Below are 20,762 nucleotides of genomic sequence, written 5' to 3'. Positions count from 1 at the left end.
CTTGGCATCATCTTTGCTTTTTCTTTTCTTTTTCTTTTTTGTTTGTTTGTTTGTTTGTTTTTTGTTCTGTTGCCCAGGCTGGAGTGCAATGGCACAGTCTTGGCTCACTGCAACCTCCGCTTTTCAGGTTCAAGCAATTCTCCCACCTCAGCCTCCCGAGTAGCTGGGACTACAGGCACACGCCACCACACCTGGCTAATTTTTGTATTTTTAGTACAGACGGGGCTTCACCATGTTGATCAGGCTGGTCTCGAACACCTGACCTCATGATCTGTCGGCCTCGGCCTCCCAAAGTGTTGGGATAACAGGTGTGAGCCACCGTGCCTGGCCCATCTTTGCTTTTTTAAAGAGATTCCAAGCGAGTACAACAAACACACAAAAAAATGGGTGTTGGGGAAGAACCATGAAGGACTGCTTAGCAAAAGGAGAACTGACACATCACCTGTGGAATCCCCAATTATGAGAATTATTAGTGACAGTAATATTTTGACTGCTATCCACTGTGTGCACACACATGCGTAGCTCTATTAGGAGCATTAATAGTTCACTCAGAAAGGAACCCAGGGATACATTTGCTGTGATTTGAATACTTTATCTGAGAAAAATATGCAGATCTTTAAGAAATGAACAACGTATTTCTAGAAGAAGTAGGTGGGGAATAAGATAAAATTGTTGAAAGGGATTTGTAGCAAATAGCCTTCGAAGTGAACTTAAAATGCACTGGAAGAGAGGGAAGAAGGAGGGGGAAGGAGGTTGTATTAAAAAAAAATAAATAAACAAATGATGACCATGCAGGTTATTGTCCTTTACTGCAGAATTTTACATTGGCCAGGGGCAGCAGTTATACATGCAATAAATTAGGCAGCTCCTAATTTAAAGAGGGCTAACTTGAGGGACATATAGAGTCATAGCATGGGAAAGTACAGCTTGAAGCTTACTGCAGTGGAGGAGAGAGACAATACCCTTCACCACATAGAACATGCACTGAAAGGAAAGCCAAGAGGAGAATAATTACCCAGGAAAGAGTAAAATGGGAGGAATCAAAAAAACAGACTACATTTAATTTCTACCTACAGCAAGAATAATTACATATTAATTTTACTCAAATATTGACTATGAGAAAAAATATTTAATTTTAACTGTAAATTGTTTACATTAAACATAGATAAATGTTACAAATATAACACAGATTTGAATGTCAACGTTATAGGACTTTCAAAAATAAAGATATCAAAGAAGTATCTTGGCCAGGTGTTGTGGCTCACACCTGTAATCCCAGCACTTTTGGAGGCCAAAGTGTCTGAATCACAATGTCAAGAGATCGAGACCATCCCGGCCAACATGGTGAAAACCCATCTCTATTAAAAATACAAAAATTAGCTGGGCATGGTGGCACGCGCCTGTAGTCCCAGCTACTCGGGAGGCTGAGGCAGGAGAATCGCTTGAACACGGGAGGTGGAGGTTGCAGTGAGCCGAGATCGCGCCACTGCACTTCAGCCTGGCGACAGAGCAAGACTCTGTCTCAAAAAAAAAAAAAAAAAAGAAAGAAATATCTTGCTTGCAATATACTAAACAATCGTATGGTTTGTACCTTTTTCTTTAAGAACACTTAATTTAAAAAATTTAGAGTTAAGCAACACTTCTCTGCATTAAGTACAAAAACTTCAAACCATTTGTTATCAGAAAATATTCAGAAGCCAGGACTTCAGTAAGGATTGAGCATTCCTCATTCCCTGACAACCTCTTTGTAAAGAATAAATATTTGCCACCAAGAGCAAGAGGTCCTTCTAAGGAGTCCAAATGATGGAGGAGTGAGTGACAAAAGGTATTTACAAAAGGTAAATGTTAAGCTAACTCCCCTCTGATCTCCCCCAACACAGTCACTAAATGTAAGACAGCCCTCAACATCACTAGACAAGCCATCTTAATTTTAGAAATCACAGCTTGTTTATAAGCTGTTACTTATGCATAACAAACTCTGGGACCTCTTGGTGAGCTCCCAAATCTGCTGGTGATTAAGTATTTTTAAAATAAAAATAAATAAATAAATAAATAAAATGAAAATTCAAACTCCCAGGCATTTGTGTTGGGAGGAGCTAAGTTCTCCAGTAAAATGCAGAGGGAGCTCATTTATCATTTATTTTCAGATGACAGCTACAAGAGCAAAAATGAAGATGAATGTATACCTTCCAAGAAGTCAAAGAACTTATTTCTCTCTTCTGAAAGGATTAGCTGTGTGCAGCAATATCTCCAGTGTAGCAAAGATGCATAATAAGATGCAATTATATTTAGAAATTTGAGAAGGTCAAAATTAAGTATTTTATTCTAGCTCACATCTATAGAGAAAAATAAACAGGGAGAACTGTTTACCAGACTAAAGCCACAGGGAACACGGCAACGCAACAGGCTCTAGCAAACAGCAGAGTTCAATGGATGGCCCCATAACGGAATTCCTAGTGGGACAATTAGAGAGGTGAAACCATCAGCCAAGCATGACTGCACATACCAAATCCATCAAGACCTATGATAGCCCTGGCAAGACAAATAGCAAGGGCACAAAGACTTAAATGGTATTTGAGAAAATTTACTATCCCCCAGCCTCCAGCAGGCCTGAGAAACAATGCCACTCAAATTCCCATCTATTCTAACAACACCATCAAAATACTCTTTTCCTTAGCCAGTTGAATTTACTGCCTAGTATTTATTTCTTTTTAACTGCATCTATGTATAGCTAAACAAAAATGTTTGTATATGTTTTTACATGTCTCTGTTACTACATCAAGCAAAATCAGCCTGACAGATTTTTATCAAATTTGGAGAGTGTGTTTTGAGCAACATGGTTTTAAATATAGGCTATGTGGCATACCTAAAATTTGCTTTGGGGTCCTCTTGGGGGGAAGCAGGCAGTCATTTACTAGAGAAGAATCGGAGGTGAAATAAGAGGCCCATAAGACTGCCAAAGGGAGTAATGAGCCATAAGTATGAGGATTTTGCATTAATATGCCAAGGACAGAGAAAACAATTGGTAGTTTTAAATATGAGTCCCAAATTGATCATTAAAAACACAGGTATGGTTTGCAATCTAGCCACTCCTTGCCTGGATAACTATAGGTAAAACTGTTCAGGTTAAGTAGCATCAATGACTTATGTAATTAACGGTAATTAATATATTTTTTAAATTCATCAGCTCTGGAGAGGCATTTTTGGAGAAACTCTTTAATGTGCAATGAGTCTAACTCCCAATTCCAAGTCAGAGTAGGGAAATGCTAGCCCTCGCTTCATACAGGTAAAAGAGGATTCAACAGACCACTCCAAGAGCTTGTCCCTCCTAGTAACAAGACCTTTGGAGCCTGGTATCTAACTACCTCCTGCAAACTTAATGGTCCAGAGACAAGGTGACTAGCCACTACTGACAAGTCAAAGGAATGGTGACTGAGTTGGGTTCAGACAGTACTCCCAGAGTTTATTGGCATCTTTGGCACAAAAGATGCATAAGCATTTCCCATGGACCAGATGTGGGTTAGGCAGGAGAAAGAGAGTGCTATTAGACCTATCCAAAGGAAGAACAGACTTGAGAAGAGGACAGTTGTGGGCAATACCTTATTTCTAGTGGCTGTGGAAAGACTAAGTTGCCAGACAGAATAGATAAATATTTTCTATTATCAATGGAGCTACAAGTTAGAGATCCCTCAAAATTTGGAGGTATGAGCGAGGTTTTCCTCCAAAGAACACTTGAATGTCTCATGAGAAGAGTCAGCCTTAAACACCTGCTATGGCCAGAGGGAAAAGCCAGCTTTTGATATGCCAATTATGGGGAACTTGCTAGAGAAGTTATAGACCACCCAGATTCTTGCCCAGAGGCAAGGGAACTAGTTCCAATGAATATTTTTAAAGGGACAGAAGAAAAATTAATGATTCTATTTCAAGTGGCACGCTTATTCAATATATCAAATATGCAACATATATGCAGAAGCAAGAATGGAAAGGTTCACCCACACAAATAGTCAAAATAGAATTAAACATTGTGATTTCAAAGCAGAAGACAATTTAAGAAACACTTGATGTCTGAGCTTTGTATTGCTTGGGGACTTATGAGAGCTTCTCGTTGTCTAGTAAGTTATGTTTCTACCCCTTGGCCTTGTATTTGAGATTTTACTACATGATCCCTTGTGTCCACATCTGTCCCTGACAAGTCTATTTCCCATCACTCCCACATGCACAGCCTTTGGCACAGCCAAGCAAACTACTTGTATCACTGTCATTACTTGTATTCAATTTTCCATTCTGCCACATCCAAAGAAATACTTCTCACTATTCAAAGAATCCTCAGGACCAGGGAAGATACAGTCACTCATTGGTTGTGCCTTAGGGTTATGTTTTCATGGCCGATTTCCTAGCCCTACTGGGGCTCAGTGGTTCTCAAAACTGACTACATATTATAATTATCCAAGGGGCTTTAAAAACAATAGCACTGGCTAGGGCTGCACCCCATAATAGTTCAACCAGAGTCTCAGGGGTTTGCTGCTAGGCAAGTGTTCTCTCTGGGTTCTGGTTTTGGTTTTAAGCTCCCCAAGTAATTCCAAAGTGCAGCCAAGACTGAGTCTATACTGGGTAAGATACAGCACAGGTAATCAATTTCTTAATGTAGAAGAATATATAGGTTGGCTAAGTTAGCTCTTCTGAGAAATTTTGATAAAAATTCAACTGGTTGTGCAGGTTTTTAGTATTCCATGACAGATAAGAGTGGAATTAAATATGACTATGAATCAAATGTGGGGTCTTGGAAAACAGAAAGTAGATTGAAAGAAGAGAAAAGGAAAAAATGACTGTGCCAGAGCAGTGGTTCTCAATGCTGAATACACAGTGGTATCATTGGGCACCTAAAATATATCTATGCGAGGGCCTCCAATCCCACAGATTATGAGTTAATTGGTTTGTGTAGGACTAGGGCATCATGCAGTTTTAAAAAGCTCCCTGGCTGACTCTAATGCACAGCTAGATTGCGAATCCCTGCCCTAGAGAAAAAATAAGGTGAGTGTTGCCTGACACTGGGTTGTCAAATGAAACAGATTCTTCTATGAAGGCTAATTCCTTAAAGAACAGAGAATGAGGAGGTTGTGTCCAACACAATGTTGTTAGTTTAAGGGATTTCGTGTTCAAGTCAGGGCCCCATTATCTCAATTTGCTCATAGGTTGTCTAGGCTGTCCACAGAAGCATCCTGTTCATAATTAGGTGCATGTATGAAAAAGAAAAAAACAAGGAGACTTTGTATTAGGGTTCTCCAGAGAAACAGAGAGAGAGGAGGAGGAGGAGATTAATATAGGAATTGGCTCACACAATTACAGAAGCCTAGAAGTCCCATGATATGCTGTGTGCAAGCTGAAGAACCAGAAAAGTTTGGTAGTATAATTCAGTCTAAGTCTGAAGGCCTGAGAACCAGCAGACCTGATGGTATAGCATCCACTCAGAAGCCAAAGGCCTGCAAACCAGGGGATGGGGAAGTTGGACACTGGTATAAGTCCAGTTCAAAGGCCCAGAAACCAGGAGCTCCAATATCCAAGGGCAGGAGAAGATGAATGTTCCATCTCAAGTAAAGAGAAAGAAAATCATCCTTCTTCTTCCTTTATGTTCTATACAGGCCCTCAATGGATAGGATGATGCTTATGCACATTGGTAAGGGCAGATCTTCTCTACTCAGTCTAACGTTTCCAATGGTAATCTCTTCCAGAAACATCCTCAGATACACCAGAAATATTGTTTAACCAATTATCTGGGTGTCCCTTAACCCAGTCAAGTTAACATGTAAAATTAACTATCCCAGACCTCAAGAGGTCCTTTACCTATTTCTACAACGTTGAGGTTCTTTAATAAAGACGAAGCATCATAGGACACTGTGATTTTTCTGTCTGCTGTGGTCGATTCTTAGGAGATATCCACTCTTTCTCTCTAGCACCTCCACAGCCCGAGTTTACTTCTCTCTGTCTTGACTTCAGGCTTAGCTATCTGTTTTATTTTGACCAGTGAAATGTCAGCAGACAAGACATGACAAAAGGCTTGACAAGACTTAAGAGACTGAAATGGCTCTGCCATGGATATGAGAAGTTCATGTCTCAATTTCTTGCTGGTCTGAGGAGGATGCATGACACTTCAGAGTTGCCTCAGCCAACTGCCACACCTGAAGTGAGAAGCAGAGCCTCTCACCTCCTGCAACCTGAGGCAGAACTGCCTGGGGAAGCCCGTCCTAGGGCAGATGAGTCTGGCCAATCTGCAGATGAATAAGCTAGATAAATGTTTATTTTTTATGCTGCTGTGATTTTTCAGTTGGTTTTCATTTAGCCATATTATGGCCAAGGATAACTAATACACTTGCTTTTCACACAAGGTTGTGCTTTCATCCTTGACATCTTTTTCCAAATTAAATCAAAATCTACTCTTTTAAGAAGCCTTATAACATGGGGGAGGTGAATGTATTGTCTCATTTCCTCATGGTCCCTTGAAGCTAATACAGTATTAAGTTTTATCTTTTGGAGGATGTTCTATGAAACACTTGTGTCAACAAAAAGGACTGAAGTCTACATGAGGAAGGCTATTGCATCCTTTCAATGCCTTATCTACTAATTGCTAATTTCATCATAGTGTTATTTAAATAGCTTAAGCTTAGAACCAACCTATGTGACTAGTATTAGGGAATAGCTAAGTAACATTTGGAATTTTCATAAACTGTTTTCCCACATTTTTAAAAATATGCTTATGAAACTTAAGAATGAGGTGATATCTGTATAAACAAAGTAAATATAAAATTGTAAGACTTGGTTTTAATTACATAAAATAAAATGTATATAAAACGTTCAAAATAAAGTATACCAAGATGTTAATGGAAGTTGTCTTTGAGTAAAGGCATTAAGAGTGATTTCTTTTTTTAAAACCTTTCTTGTACTTCCTAAATGTTCTTCAATGATCACATTTTGCTCTTACATTCTAGAAAAAAACAACTCTAAAAATGGTAAGAAAGAAAACAGTTCCTGAGGGACTTGGAATTCTGAACACCACGTAACTCAAAAGGGGCAAAGGTCTTTCCTTTTTATAATGTATTCAGCTGACAAAGTGAGATGATAATTGGCCTCTTTCCAGTTGGTGAAAGTTCTCTAATTCTAAGGAGTTATCATTTCTTCTTGGGGATCCCCATCTGCCCACCCTCCCTTAGGAACAGTTCTGAATTTTGGTCTCAAATCCTGCACAATTCTTCTATATGTTGACTTACTTCTTCCTTATAATTAGAAGCAGTTCATACTAACAAATAGGGTTATTTAAATTTTACATTTCCAATACCACTAAATTACAGGAAGCCAAAGTTATACAGGTAGCCAATGTACAATTTAAAGTCTCAATAAATGTCGAATTTGGCATTAAGCTTTGAATTTTGAAGGCCATTATTTATACTGTAATATTCACATTTTTGAATGACTGATCTTGAGCCAATGGATTGTAAGTTTCTTATATGGAAAAACTCTATCACATTCATCTTTGTTACCCTCACCACCTAGTAAAACAAGCAGCACATTGTAGGTGGATTTGAAACACTGATAGCTGGATTTGCTGAGTATCTGAGACCTAAGACAGATCCCCCTTCTCAGAGACCTTGCAGTTAGGTGGGCCAAGTGATTAGTTCAGGCCAGTAAACTATGCTGGGACATGATTTTTTTTATATATATATTTTTATTATACTTTAAGTTCTAGGGTACATGTATACAATGTGCAGGTTTGTTACATATGTATATATGTGCCATGTTGGTGTGCTGCACCCATTAACTCGTCATTTACGTTAGGTATATCTCCTAATGCTATCCCTCCCCGCTTCCCCCACCCCACAACAGGCCCCAGTGTGTGATGTTCCCCTTCCTGTGACCAAGTGTTCTCATTGTTCAATTCCCACTTATGAGTGAGAACATGCAGTGTTTGGTTTTTTGTCCTTGCAATAGTTTGCTGAGAATGATGGTTTCCAGCTTCATCCATGGCTGGGACATGATATCTGTCACCTGAGAGCTGAAACAGTGAGAAGTCTACAAACAACCCTCTAAATTCTCTTTTTCAGCTGCAGCAACCCAGGACTCCTGTGTGGAAAAGTGGAGGGGCTACAAGACAGAAGCAATCGGGAGCCCTGAATTACCACTTGGAAGGGAGGTAAAGGTAAGAACCACTGAGCCTGCAGAAGATTTTGCTTGAACAAGGAATACATTTTTATATGTTAAGCCACTGAAATAGCAAGATTTGTTTGTTCCTGTAGCATTCTTTAAAGTTGACTTGAATTTAATTGGAAGCTTTTAATAGTCCACTTTTAAAATATGTTTGCTGGCATAACCAAAAGCACCTGGGCTTGTGTTTTTATCCTGAATGTTTCAGTATTTGTTAAATTTAACGAGGGGAGAAGATAGCCTCTTTTGTGCTGGCTACTTAACAATCATAGCCTAGAGGCTGCTGAAAAGATGTATAAGCTGCTGTGTTTATGCTCTAGGCCTCATGTCTCATTCCTGGGCTGCAGAGGAATTTCCCAGCCAAATTTCCAACCTATATTTAGATCTCTGGTCATGGCCTCCAGGCAGTTTGTGGCACTGCATTAGGTACCAACCATGGGCTGTTACAGAGACCATTCTTCACATACCCAGAAGTAAACTGCAAGGCTTGGTACATTGTATTTGGGAAAAAAAAAAGTGTAAATCAGAACTTTAAAAGTGCTTATATTATTATAGGCTGGAGAATTGTAGGAACATGGCATTTCCTTTTGGCTAGACATAACAATTCTTCCTTTTCAGGTAGTCTTTTCTGCAAAAACTGGCCTTCAGTTACTCAATCAATTTGTCCCAATATGGATCAAGATATAAAAGATTTCATACACTTGACTTAAGCCTATGATAAATACGTGTTTAAATACTCTTTTCTCTAGGACACTGAGTTTCCAAGCCTTTATGTAGACATTTGACCCATTTTACTGGAGTGGTAGATTTGTAAACCAATTAGTAACTAGGCTATTGACTGAATTTAATGGTTGCTAATTGATTCATTACCAATCAATCTAGACAAAATGATCAAATCACTTGTTTATTTCAGGCTTAGTAGCAATAAAAAGTCTATTACTTCTTTAAAAACATGGTGCATGGAAGCACCCCATGTTTATTAACTAAACTGATTACAATTATGTATTTCAGGGTCTGTCTCCAGCTGCCTTGGCATCTGTTCCAACTCTCTGCCTTCTCCTCTCCCTCAAATCTTTGAGTTCTTTGGGTAGAGGTAAGTCTCAGCAATGCCAAATCCTGTATTCACTTTTAGAAACTATAACAGCAGAAGCCTGCTGAATTTCACCTTGAGAGTGTCATAGATGTTTGCGGCTTCTCAGGTCTGTTCAGCATCTCTTCTGAAGTGTCCTCACTTAGACTGCCTGCTAAGGCTTGAGAAAGTCAGCATTTAATCTCAGCATACCACCAAAGGGATGAAAGCTACTCCCTATCATTTTTTAAACAGCTAAATGATTCAAATTAGAACTGTGAATGGTCCAGCCATATTAACAGGTGTTGCAGTATATTAATTTCAAAAAGGACAAAAAGGATTTTAAAGGAACAACCTTCTGCAAATCAAGTCTAAAACTGGGTGCAATATGAAGTAGCCTAATGCAGTGGTTTTTTGTGTGTTTTGAAGACTTTACATCTTTTTTGTGGGCAAGAGTTCAAAATTCAGGTCAGAAGGAATCAAGGCAGAAATGTCATGTTAAATGAAAAGAGAAAGAAGAGAAAAAGAACACATTTGTATAAAGGCTGGGGACATGTGTCCTTGCCTCCTCAATGTAGATGCCCTTGCAATGAACGCAACCGCATGACTGTTCAAAGGGCCACTGCCCTGTTAAAATGCCCTGCCTTTGAAATTCTGTATAATTGTCCTAAAAATTCTACTTCCAAACTCACTAATTGGTCAGATGCAGAAACTGGCCTGTTTATTATTTATTCTCCATAAATAAGACAGAAATTTTTATATAAGGCAATGATACTGTCAGGACTACTATAGTATAATCCCAGACTGTACAATATTGATAAACAAGTCTTGGTGTATAGATAATTGTCAAACTATGATTATCTAAGGATGAGCTGGTAAAGTAAGATTATCTAGCCAAAACCATCTCTGGATTTTTTTTTTTTTAAGAAAATCCAATGCTTAGGGTAACTTAATGGAGTTTGCACTACTGTTAAGCGCAAACACGTAAGTCTTATACTTCTCCAGTTCAAAAATATTTAATCTGCTATCAAGTGTGAAAGCACAATCAAATATATAGCTGTGGGATCGTTAAATTACCCCCAAAGAGGGGAGGGCATCCTTAAATTGGCTGTTCTCTGCGTATCACATAATTAGGCCTTCCGTATTTGCTTGTTGATTTAAAAGCTCCGATTTCCATTCTAAGGTATTTCCATGAGAAGTATGAGGGTATATGGATGGAGCTCTTGAGGGATGACCTTATTTCCATTCCCATACCTACTGACCTATTCAGAACAAACATTTTACAGATGGAAAAACTGAGACTCCAGGAAGCTGGCTCCAAAAAAGCCAACACAGCATATTCATGGTGGAGATGGAGGTATACTCAAGTACCCCACCCATGAGGTTAGTTGTTTTTCAAGCCTTCTTACTACAGAATACATATTTGCAGATATTACCTACTTTTTTTTTTTTTTTTTTGGAAATGGAGTTTCACTCTTGTTACCCAGGCTGGAGTGCAATGGTGAGATCTCGGCTCACTGCAACCTCCACCTCCCAGGTTGAAGCGATTCTCCTGCCTCAGCCTCCCAAGTAGTTGGGATTACAGGCATGTGCCACCACACCCAGCTAATTTTTTATTTTTAGTAGAGACAAGGTTTCTCCATGTTGGTCAGGCTGGTCTTGAACTCCTGACCTTAGGTGATCCGCCTGCCTCAGCCTTCCAAAGTGCTGGGATTACAGGCATGAGCCACCATGCCCGGCCGATATTACCTACTCTTTTATGCTACATGTCATCTTGCTTCTCAATGCAAACTGAAGCTCCAAGACCCTTGCACAATCCCTTTGTTTCCTTTCATGACCACATGACGGAACACAAGGATGGGCACTGAACATAGAGCCAATCCAGGAATTACTGAGTTGAAACCTACTCAAACACAACACAATACAATCCATGAAAGGATAGTTGAGTACCCAAATGCAAAGGTCATGAAGACTACGTGACAAAAATGAATTATAGGCAAACAGTAGTGATTTATGGATACACAAATGATGACTGACACTTTTTTCTTGGTGACTGGTACTGTATACCAAAAGATTGATTTGAATTTCAGTTGTAAAAGTAGTTGAATAGAAGGAAGCCTGTTTAGCAAAAAATTATGAACATAGTTAATATCTTCTTTCTATGGCCCACTGCCACAAAAAATGCTGGATAGGAGACCCCCAAGGTGTTGGCACCTCCATGCCAGGATACTCTCTCACTACCTGGATCAGGGGTTGGCAAGAAGACTCTGCTGAGTCACTTAAATGTGCTGTGATGTTCCACGTCTAGATGGATAAGTACTGCCTTGCTCCATCCAAGGTTTGGTGGGCCCAGGGGCTGAATTGAGCCCTGCCACACCCACAGCCATTCCCTGACCTGGGGCAGAGAGCAACAGTTCTGTAGATCAGAAGTCCAGGCAGGATTAACTGGGTTTTCTGCTGAGAAAAATCAAAGTGTCTGTCAAGGCTGGGCTTTTTCTTATCTGAGGCCAGAAGGAAGAATCCACATCCAAGTTCATCCAGGTTGTCACTCTTAGGTTCCTGCTTCTTGGGTTTCTCCATCTTCAATTCAGCAACAGAGCATCAGATCTTCCCCATGCTTTGAATTTATCTGATTTTCCTATCTGCTACCAACTAGAGAAAACTTTCTGTTTTTAAAGTACTCACATGATTTGATTAGGCCCACCCAGATAATATCCCTATCTTAAAGCCAACTGATGACTAATCTTTGCCATGTAATTGAATATATCACCAGAGCAACACCCAGGGCAAAAGTCATGGGGCCATCCTAAAAGTCTACCTATAGCAGTTAGAAATGTACAGTTGGCATTTGAAAGTAACTCTCTTGAACTTAGGAAAATGTTAGGACTAGAAATTTAAATTTGGGTTCCATCACATTTTAGGTGATAGATTAACAAAATACAAACTTCTGAGCGAATACAATACTACTGATTCTGCAATATCTTTCACCATGGAATCACAACACACAAGCGGCTAGGGCAATATTTTTCATGTAAGATATCATTGACATTATCTCTAAAAGTAATATTGGGTCTTTTTTTTTTGGTACTTTAATGGATGCAAAAGTAATACTGGATCACTTTGACCTTTCACTTAGAAAGCTCAATTTCAATTTCTTTAATTTATTCTAGAAGGTACAGAATGACTAGATTAGCCTTCCTGGATTCCAATCATTTCACACAAAAAATAACTTACCTTTCAGATAATAATGAAAGAGTGTGTGTGTGTGTATGTGTGTGTGTGTGTAAGGACTAAAATGAATGTCTTCTGGTCTCAAAGAAATCAGTCGCACAAAAATAGGAAAACAGAAGTTAAAAGGTCAAGCAAAAGATATAAGCATGACATTACTTTTTACCATTTTTATTTCAATAAATGAGTGGGTTACACATCATCAGATACATACAGTTAGTGTATTTTTCCAAAATAAAAAATTCATTTTCAGTCATTATGTCTCCTTTATAAGGATTCAGGTAGTTTTCCATAAAGGAAGACAAAAAAGAATTTGCTATGTGTTTTTATTGGTTTAGAAAGCTCAAATTTTTGAGTTAAAAAAGAAAACCTTTCCAGCTAAATTTTTCTCTGTGTTTGTGAGTTAAATTAAAGAAAAATATGTATCTTATTTAGTCCCTTTTCTTCTCTTCCCTAACTTTTCTTTTTGAGAAATTTCTCTCTGTACCAATTCATGGTTCACCCTCCCTTTGCAGGTGGCCTTCTCAAGTCAACAGACAAGAAGGAACAAAATTAAAGACTTAGGCCAGGGACCATGGCTCATGTCTGTAATTTCAGCACTTTGAGAGGCTGAAGCGGGAGGATCACTTGAGCCCAAGAGTTCAAGACCCACCTGGGCAACACAGTGAGACTGTCTCTATCAAAAAATAAATAAGGACTTAGACAACTTAAGAAGAACAAAAGTACCCCCATTGTTAAAGACTGGGAATGTGAGAACTGAGGAGTCAACCAACCTCTGAGACTTCTCCCAAGGAACGCATAGCCTCTGTTGTCTCACCATCACTCCAACACTGTCTCAGGCATACAGAGGATCTGATTCAACTCAGCAAACCTATACTGAGTGCCCACTACATGCAGTACGTGCACTATCCTTCCCACTCTTCCTTCCTAATTTAGCAGTAAAAATCTGCTTAATGAATAGAGTAGTAGTTTTGAATATATTATGTGCACAAACATATGCAAAAAAATACATGCTAAAAAAGTTCACACTCCCACCATTCAAAATGTTCTATATTGTATTTTTGTGTGTATCAGCCCATTTAGCAGCAAATGAAGGTATGTGCAGGAAGGAATTATACTGGGTTTCATAAGGACCTTTTTTAATCGAGTAGAAATGTACAGTCACAGGATGCTAATTTTGCTTCAGATTTCTGCACACTGTGGTTGGCTAAGATTTTAAATCAACAATGATAACTATAAGGAGGCCCTGATAATAATGGTAGCATACGTTACAGGTCATCTCACTCCATGCACAAAAGCAATCTTGTAGGAGATGAAACACAATATTGTAATTAGATATAGATGGATTCAATAAATATTAAGCAGTAAAAAATATTTTTCTCTTAGCCATTTCCTTCTTGGCAGAACCTGCAATTCTGGCTCATCCTAATATCTGACCCACGAAATTAAGATAAAAAGTTATTGAATAGGGAGAGAAGATGGAGAGAATTTAATAGGCGTGGCTTTTTGGAATTCCAGTATACATTTTGCAATTGCAAGTTGATGCTTCCTCCCTCCTCACCACGACCAACCACCTCAATGTAAACAAGAAATGGTAACCGCCAGAAGGACAAAGGACACCAACACATGCGGATAGATGAGTTCTATTCCTAATGCTATGAATTACATTTTGTTATTTTGATAGAATTAGGCTTCGAGATCAGTTGTTTCAGATAACCACAACAAACACAAATTTTAAACTATTTTGCATATATTTCCTAATTATTTAAAACCTGTTTGATGCATTTGAATATTTATTTTAATTGAATCGCCCAAACTGGTCAAGTTAGTTCAGGCCCTGGGTCAAGTTAGTTCAGGGCCCACTGCCTTTTTTCTTTTAGAGAAGGCTTCCTTTCCTCCTTCCCAACCAAAGAAACTTCAATAAACTCTACCTTTAATCAAGCCCATCTAGTCTTCTCCCAGTCTCAGTTTTGCCTCCAGGCAGCCCTGAGCAGCAGGAAGTAGGCCAAACTAGCTCTCTGCTAGCTAATCTGATAAACAAATCTGACAGAGATGAATGCTTTTTAGGGAAGTTGCTGCTTTGCATTTTGGAAAATGGGTACTAAAGGCAACCCAGGGATAAAATAAGGTCAGTTTTGAATATTCAAATTACTTGGTCCCTCTTGCTTTGAAATGTTAGTCTTGTACAACTCACAACTATTCTTCAAATACTTTTCAATGAATAATAATAATGTATAGCTTTTTTAAATTTAACCAAAAATAGTCATTGTACGTATTCCCTAAACTAGTAAAGTCTCATCTAGCTTTTCAAAATTTTGCTGATAGACAGAAGCTAGTATTAAGCTTATAAATCATCAGAATTTTTCTCAAGGTTTGGTTTAGAGAATTGCTTCCATCTCTGAGTGGCAAACTTATTCCCTTCTAGAAAGCTCTCTTTCTTCTAAAATACTAAAAGCATCCCTGGAGTACTTTAAGAACACAGAGCTGGCCTCAGGGCCTCTAATGCTTTTTTAAGTTGTAACTCTCCACAGGAAGCCTCAGGGTCTGGTGCACCCCTGAGCCTTGCGGCCTTACTGGCCACTATTCCACCTGCTCAACCCTGGGCAGGTGCAAGACACTTCTGACCTCGCTCAGCAGCCCTTCTGATTCTTTGTGTTTTAAGGCCTCACAATGTGCGTGCTCTAAAATAACAGCTTTTGGATATAGGCAAGTCCCCAGTGTCACACTAAACTCAGGGCACAGCAGAGGAAGAAAATAGCTAAAAATTGGAGCAGGTAAAGTAAGGTAAAGGCCAGGCTCAAAGGAAAAGAGTAAGTCATGAGAAAGTCAGGGATTCTACCCTGGGCCAAATGTAAGTCATGAATCAAAGCTAGATATGTGACCAGGCATCATAAAGAAACTGGAAGTCAGGGCATGGGAAAAAGAAGACTGAGAAGAGAAAGAAACCTGGGTTTTCATTTCACTCCACTCTGGGTCTTAATTTTCTTATCTGTAAAATGAAGTTTTAATAAGAAATTATCTTAATCACCTAAATATTGTACATCTAGAAAGACCACGTGAATAGTGTATTAGTCAGGGCTCTCCAGAGAAACAGGATCAATAGGAGATGAGAAGAAAGGAGAGGAGAGACAGAGACATTTACCATAGGAAAAGGCTCATATAATTATGAAGACTGAGAGTTCTACAATCTGCTACCTGCGAGCTGGAGACCCGAGAAAGCCAGGGTTGTCATTCAGTCTAAGTCCAAAGGCCAGGGAAAGGATGGGGTACAGGGGTACAATGATGTAAATCCAGGTTTGAGTCCAAAGGCCTGAAATGAATGGGGTGGTCATACAGGAAATGTTGTACATTGCACAGAATAGTTCTGAAGAGAAAAAAAGGAAATGGTAGACACAGAGCTGAGATGCAATGCAGAATGCGAGATAAGAGAAATCAGCATTAAATAAGTTCCTGACTTTTAGCTCATGTTACATACTCAATTCAGGTCACCTGGGAAGCTGTGTTCATTTCACTGCATTCTTTCAGGGACTCAGGCTAGTGGGAGATTTATCTTGACACATGGTTTCTAGAACACGGAAACAGGAAAGGGAAAGGTAGAAAATTGTACACTGGCTCTAGTTTCCACCCCAACTGACAATGTCACATCTGCTTACACTTCACTAGCAATACCAAGTCACATAGCTCTAACTTCAAAGGGTGTGAGAAAGTGAAATCTTATCTGCTATGCGCCCAAAGGGTAGAAAAATTGAGTATGAATTCCACACCACCCACCGGTTCTTTACCTTCCAAATATAAATATATACAAGTTTTTTTTTCATCTTTAAAACCTATGCGTGTGCACACAAACACAAACAAATACACAAAGAGCCCCAAAAAACTCCTTCAAAGCTCTGTCCCTCTTTTCTATCCTTTTCATATGCAGGCTTCTTAAAAGAATTGTCTCCATTTGCTGCCATTACTTTATCCTTCATATAACCATCTTGGTTTCTGGCTCTTCTTTGAAACTGTTCTTACCATGGTCACTAGTGACCTATGTGTGGTTAAATTCAATTAACACTTTTCAGTCCTTATTTTTCCTGCTCCGTCTCTCTCTACAACATTTGCGACTATAAATTATTCCCTAACCTCATCATTTTCTCCAACTTTAATTTCAGTGACACCATTGCTTCCCTCCAAAATCCTGATCCATTCTTTCTCCTCTCCCTTCTTCTCACTACATGCACCCATGAAAGCTCTCCTTAAGTTATCCTTTCCCTTGGCTTCACTAATTATTTGTACCTCAATGACTCCCAAATCTACATCCCTACCTTTGATTCCTCTTCCAACCTGAAAAACTGCCTGCTAGAAATCTCCATACGAGAGCCCTTTAAGTTCTTCACATGTAATAGCTCCAAAACAGAATCACATTTTCCATTAAAATCTGCTTCTCCTTATTTCTTAGTTCAGTGAATTATACCACCATTTCCTAGTCACCCAAGTCAAATATCTAGGAATCACCTGCAGCTTCTTCTTTATCTTCAATCCTTTGTTTTTGATTACAAAGTCATTGTTACAATTTCTACTTGGTTTATGACACCAGCCTCTTGAAGTTTCCTCTGCCAGCAGCACTAACCCTTGAGTCTTATTCTTCACAGATGATCAGTCATCTTTGTAAACATAACTATGCCATCCTCTTGCTTAAAACCCTTCAACGTTTCTCATAGGTTTTAGTCCAATATCCTTCTTGTGGATTATAAGGTCTTCAAGATCTGCCCATGATTGCTTCACCACTTATATTCATTGCCCTGACCCTCTCCCTCTGTGAATTTCAGCTATATTGCATTACCTATAGGTTCCAGAATGGTCTCTGATAATTCAAATTTCCATGTCTTTGAGCATGTAGCACTTAATACGTCTCTTTTCTATTATCTGCCTGGTTAACTCCTTTGGACTTAATTCACTATCATTTCTTTCAACAAGTCTCCTCTGATCTTCCTAATCCTGATCAGGTATCCCCACTACGTGTTCTAAGAGCAATTTAAGCTTATCTCAATCTCAATAGTACTTATCACAATCATGTTTTTCTAGTCAACATTTCATTTTTCTTCCCTCCTATGAATTTCATAAGGAAATAGCTTTCACTCATTATTGTAGACTCAGGGTCTAATACAGTGCCTGACACATGTGAGGATCTCAATAAATACCCATTAAGTGAATTAATTAGTTAAGCCCAATTTTCCTATGAGAATAAAATTCTGGAACTGTGCTCAGGCAGACAGAAAGCATGGAGGAAAAGTATGGCATATATACATGTATTGATCCTTAGACTAATATATGTATAATTGGCTTATATAATTAACTCCTCCAGAACAGGTCCAAGTAACTGCTGTGGTGCCCTTTACCAGATCCCTGGATATGTCATGCTACACTTGCCCTCCTGTGATACCTCTTTTACATTTAAGATTTGGTTTAAGGGATAAGTGACTTGACATATGTCTTTTGAATTACGTGTTAACTTGTTGTTAAAAAATAAACACATAGCTATCAAAGACCTAATGTGCTGGTTTCCCTGGAGAAGCAAAATTCCCGTACTCAAGGAGTTAAAGCCTAAGGCAAAGAGCTAAGTTTCCAGCAAATAGAGAAACCTGATCATCTCAATTTGAGTTTCAACTCTTGCCTAATTTTTTTTTTTTTTTTTTTGAGACGGAGTCTCACTATGTGGCCCAGGCTGGAGTGCAGTGGCACGATCTCGGCTCACTGCCAGCTCTGCCTCTTAGGTTCACGCCATTCTCCTGCCTCAGCCTCCTGAGTAGCTGGGACTACAGGCGCCCACCACCACACCCGGCTAATTTTTTTGTATTTTTAGTGGAGATGGGGTTTCACTGTGTTAGCCAGGATGGTCTCTATCTTCTGACCTCATGATCTGCCTGCGTCGGCCTCCAAAGTGCTGGGATTAGAGGCGTGAGCCACTGCGCCCGGCCTAGCTCTTGCCTAATATTACTAAGGAAATGACCCTTCCTTCTGTGACTTCATTTCCTCATCTGTGAAATGTGTAAAATAAGATATTAAAATAAAATATGGGTTACAACAGTAAAGATATGACATGAAGTTTAATTGGTATGAAATCACTTTATAATAATAGCTATCATCTATGCACAATCACTTGGTAGTATTAATTTTACATTCTAGATGTTATTTCATTCTTACCACAACCCAGTGTAGCATTATAATCTCCATGATACCAATGGAGAAATAGTGGTTCATAGAGGTTAAGTAACTGACTCAATGTTACACAGCTGGTAAGTAGCAGAGCCAGGATTCAAATCAAGATTTGTATTACCCAAAGACTAGAGCTGCTAACTACTGTGCTACATTGTCCACTTTTAAGCTGTCATACAAATGCAGTTTATACACTCAATCGTTCATATTTAAGCACTATGATGAAGTAGAGTCCACACTATAAGTGAAAGCTACCAATAAACCAAATGGCCAGATTTTTCCATCTGTAAAATGAGTGAGTTGGATCACATTAAATGAGACACTGCGTATTAAGCACTCTGCACAGTCCATGACACGGAGTATTAAAAAATGCTACCCATCATTAGTATTTTATTGTTGCTAAGTCCCTTTCTACATCAACTTTCTATAATTCTGTGGCATTTCATCCACATACATTTTGTTAAAGGGCTAGGGTAACATATAATAAGATTTATATCAAAAGATACAAATAAGCTGGGTGATTATTTGTGGAAGCCATGAAGGCAGAGGTAGATCTTTGGGACCCTACGAAACACAAGTTCAGATGAAGTATGACAGTTATCCAAGAACTCTGTTACCATTTTTCAGGTCTTGAGGATCTGCTCCTAACTCTTTTAAATAGTCCAGGCTCAGTATTCATTCGCCAGCTAATTGGGAGCACAATCTGTTCATGAAGTTCCCAGTCAATGCTGCCAGAAGGATAATCTACACATTCTGTTTATCTAGTGGGAAAAGGGCCATGGAATTGGCCTGGTGAGACCACTCTTTTCCATGACCATCACAGTACTTAGAAAAATACCAGACTCAAAATTCTCATTTGCTACAGGCTGGTAGCCATCACTATCCTTCTTGTTTAATAAGCTCAGCCCACGGATTGTAATAAAGGGGACAGAGATAAACAGTGTTGTTTTCCACCTGGAAAGCCAGGTAGAAAAGTCAAGAATCCAGGGAGTAACACAAGATGTTAGGGCCCTGTATACATCAAAATCTAGGGCATAAAGGATGAATCATCCAGTTAAAGCTATGCAGAAGTCAGAAAAGGCAGGAATTAAAAGATCACAAGGGATCCTCCCAAACACAAGCTTAGTTACTTCCATAACCTTCCAAAACCCCAGTTTATAGATGAGGAAACAACTTCAGAGAATTCAAGTGATTTTTCAGAGGTTATAAAATTAGTAATATATTCAGGAGAAGGGATATTAAATAACTGAAAGTAAATGAACATGCCACTAGATTTTAAAATTTAAACAAGGTGATATTAGGGAGTAATTGAGAGTAATATTAGCTAGATGCAGTGTCTATTAGTTATATATTAGTGCATAACAAATTACCACAAACTTAGCAGCTTAAAACAACACACATTATCTCATGTTTTCTGCAGGCCAAGAGTCTAGGCACAGCTTAGCTGGGTCCTCTTTAGGGTCTTAAAAGACAGCAATCAAGGTGTCAACTTGGCTGTATTTTCACCTGTAGGCTTGAATGGGGAAAAAATCTACTTTCAAACTCACTCAAGTTACTGGCAGAAGTATGTATGTGTGTATGTATGTATGTATGTATGTATGTACGTATGTATTTGCAGCTATAAAAATGAGGGTTGGGCTTCTTGCTCGCCATTGGTGGAAGGTGGCCCTCAGCTCCTAGTAGCTGTCCATAGTTCCTTGACACAGGGGCTTTCCCAACATTGCTGATTACTTCATCAAGTCAGCAAAGAAAGTCTCCAGCAAGACAGTCTTATATAATGTAACATAATCACGGGCATATCTGATTGCCTTTACCATATTCTTTTGGTTAGCAACAAGTCACAGATCCATCAACACTCAAAGAAGGGGATTATCCAAAGGCATGAACACTGCAGGCGGGGATCATGGAGGTCACCGTAGAGTCTGCACACCAGAGCGTGTCACAGAGGACTTTAAAGGAGGTGAGAGCAGTGGCTTGAAGGAGCCAGAGATGGAAAGACCCAAGGGAGGGTGTGATAGATGGAGGGAACTGCACATGCAAAGCCCCTGAAGTGGGAAAGAGCTCAGACAGGTAG

General features: G+C 39.1%; 1 long non-coding RNA gene across 1 annotated transcript in view; it reads right to left on the bottom strand.

Annotated features, from left to right (window-relative positions):
- The window catches only part of LINC01317 (long intergenic non-protein coding RNA 1317), a 590,861-nt gene that overhangs the window by 257,888 nt on the left and 312,211 nt on the right, over positions 1-20,762 (bottom strand). The window lies entirely within an intron of this gene.

The sequence above is a fragment of the Homo sapiens genome, chromosome 2, assembly GCF_000001405.40.
Source record: "Homo sapiens chromosome 2, GRCh38.p14 Primary Assembly".
NCBI classification, from domain to species: Eukaryota; Metazoa; Chordata; class Mammalia; order Primates; family Hominidae; genus Homo; species Homo sapiens.
This window is presented reverse-complemented; position numbering and strand designations above follow the sequence as displayed.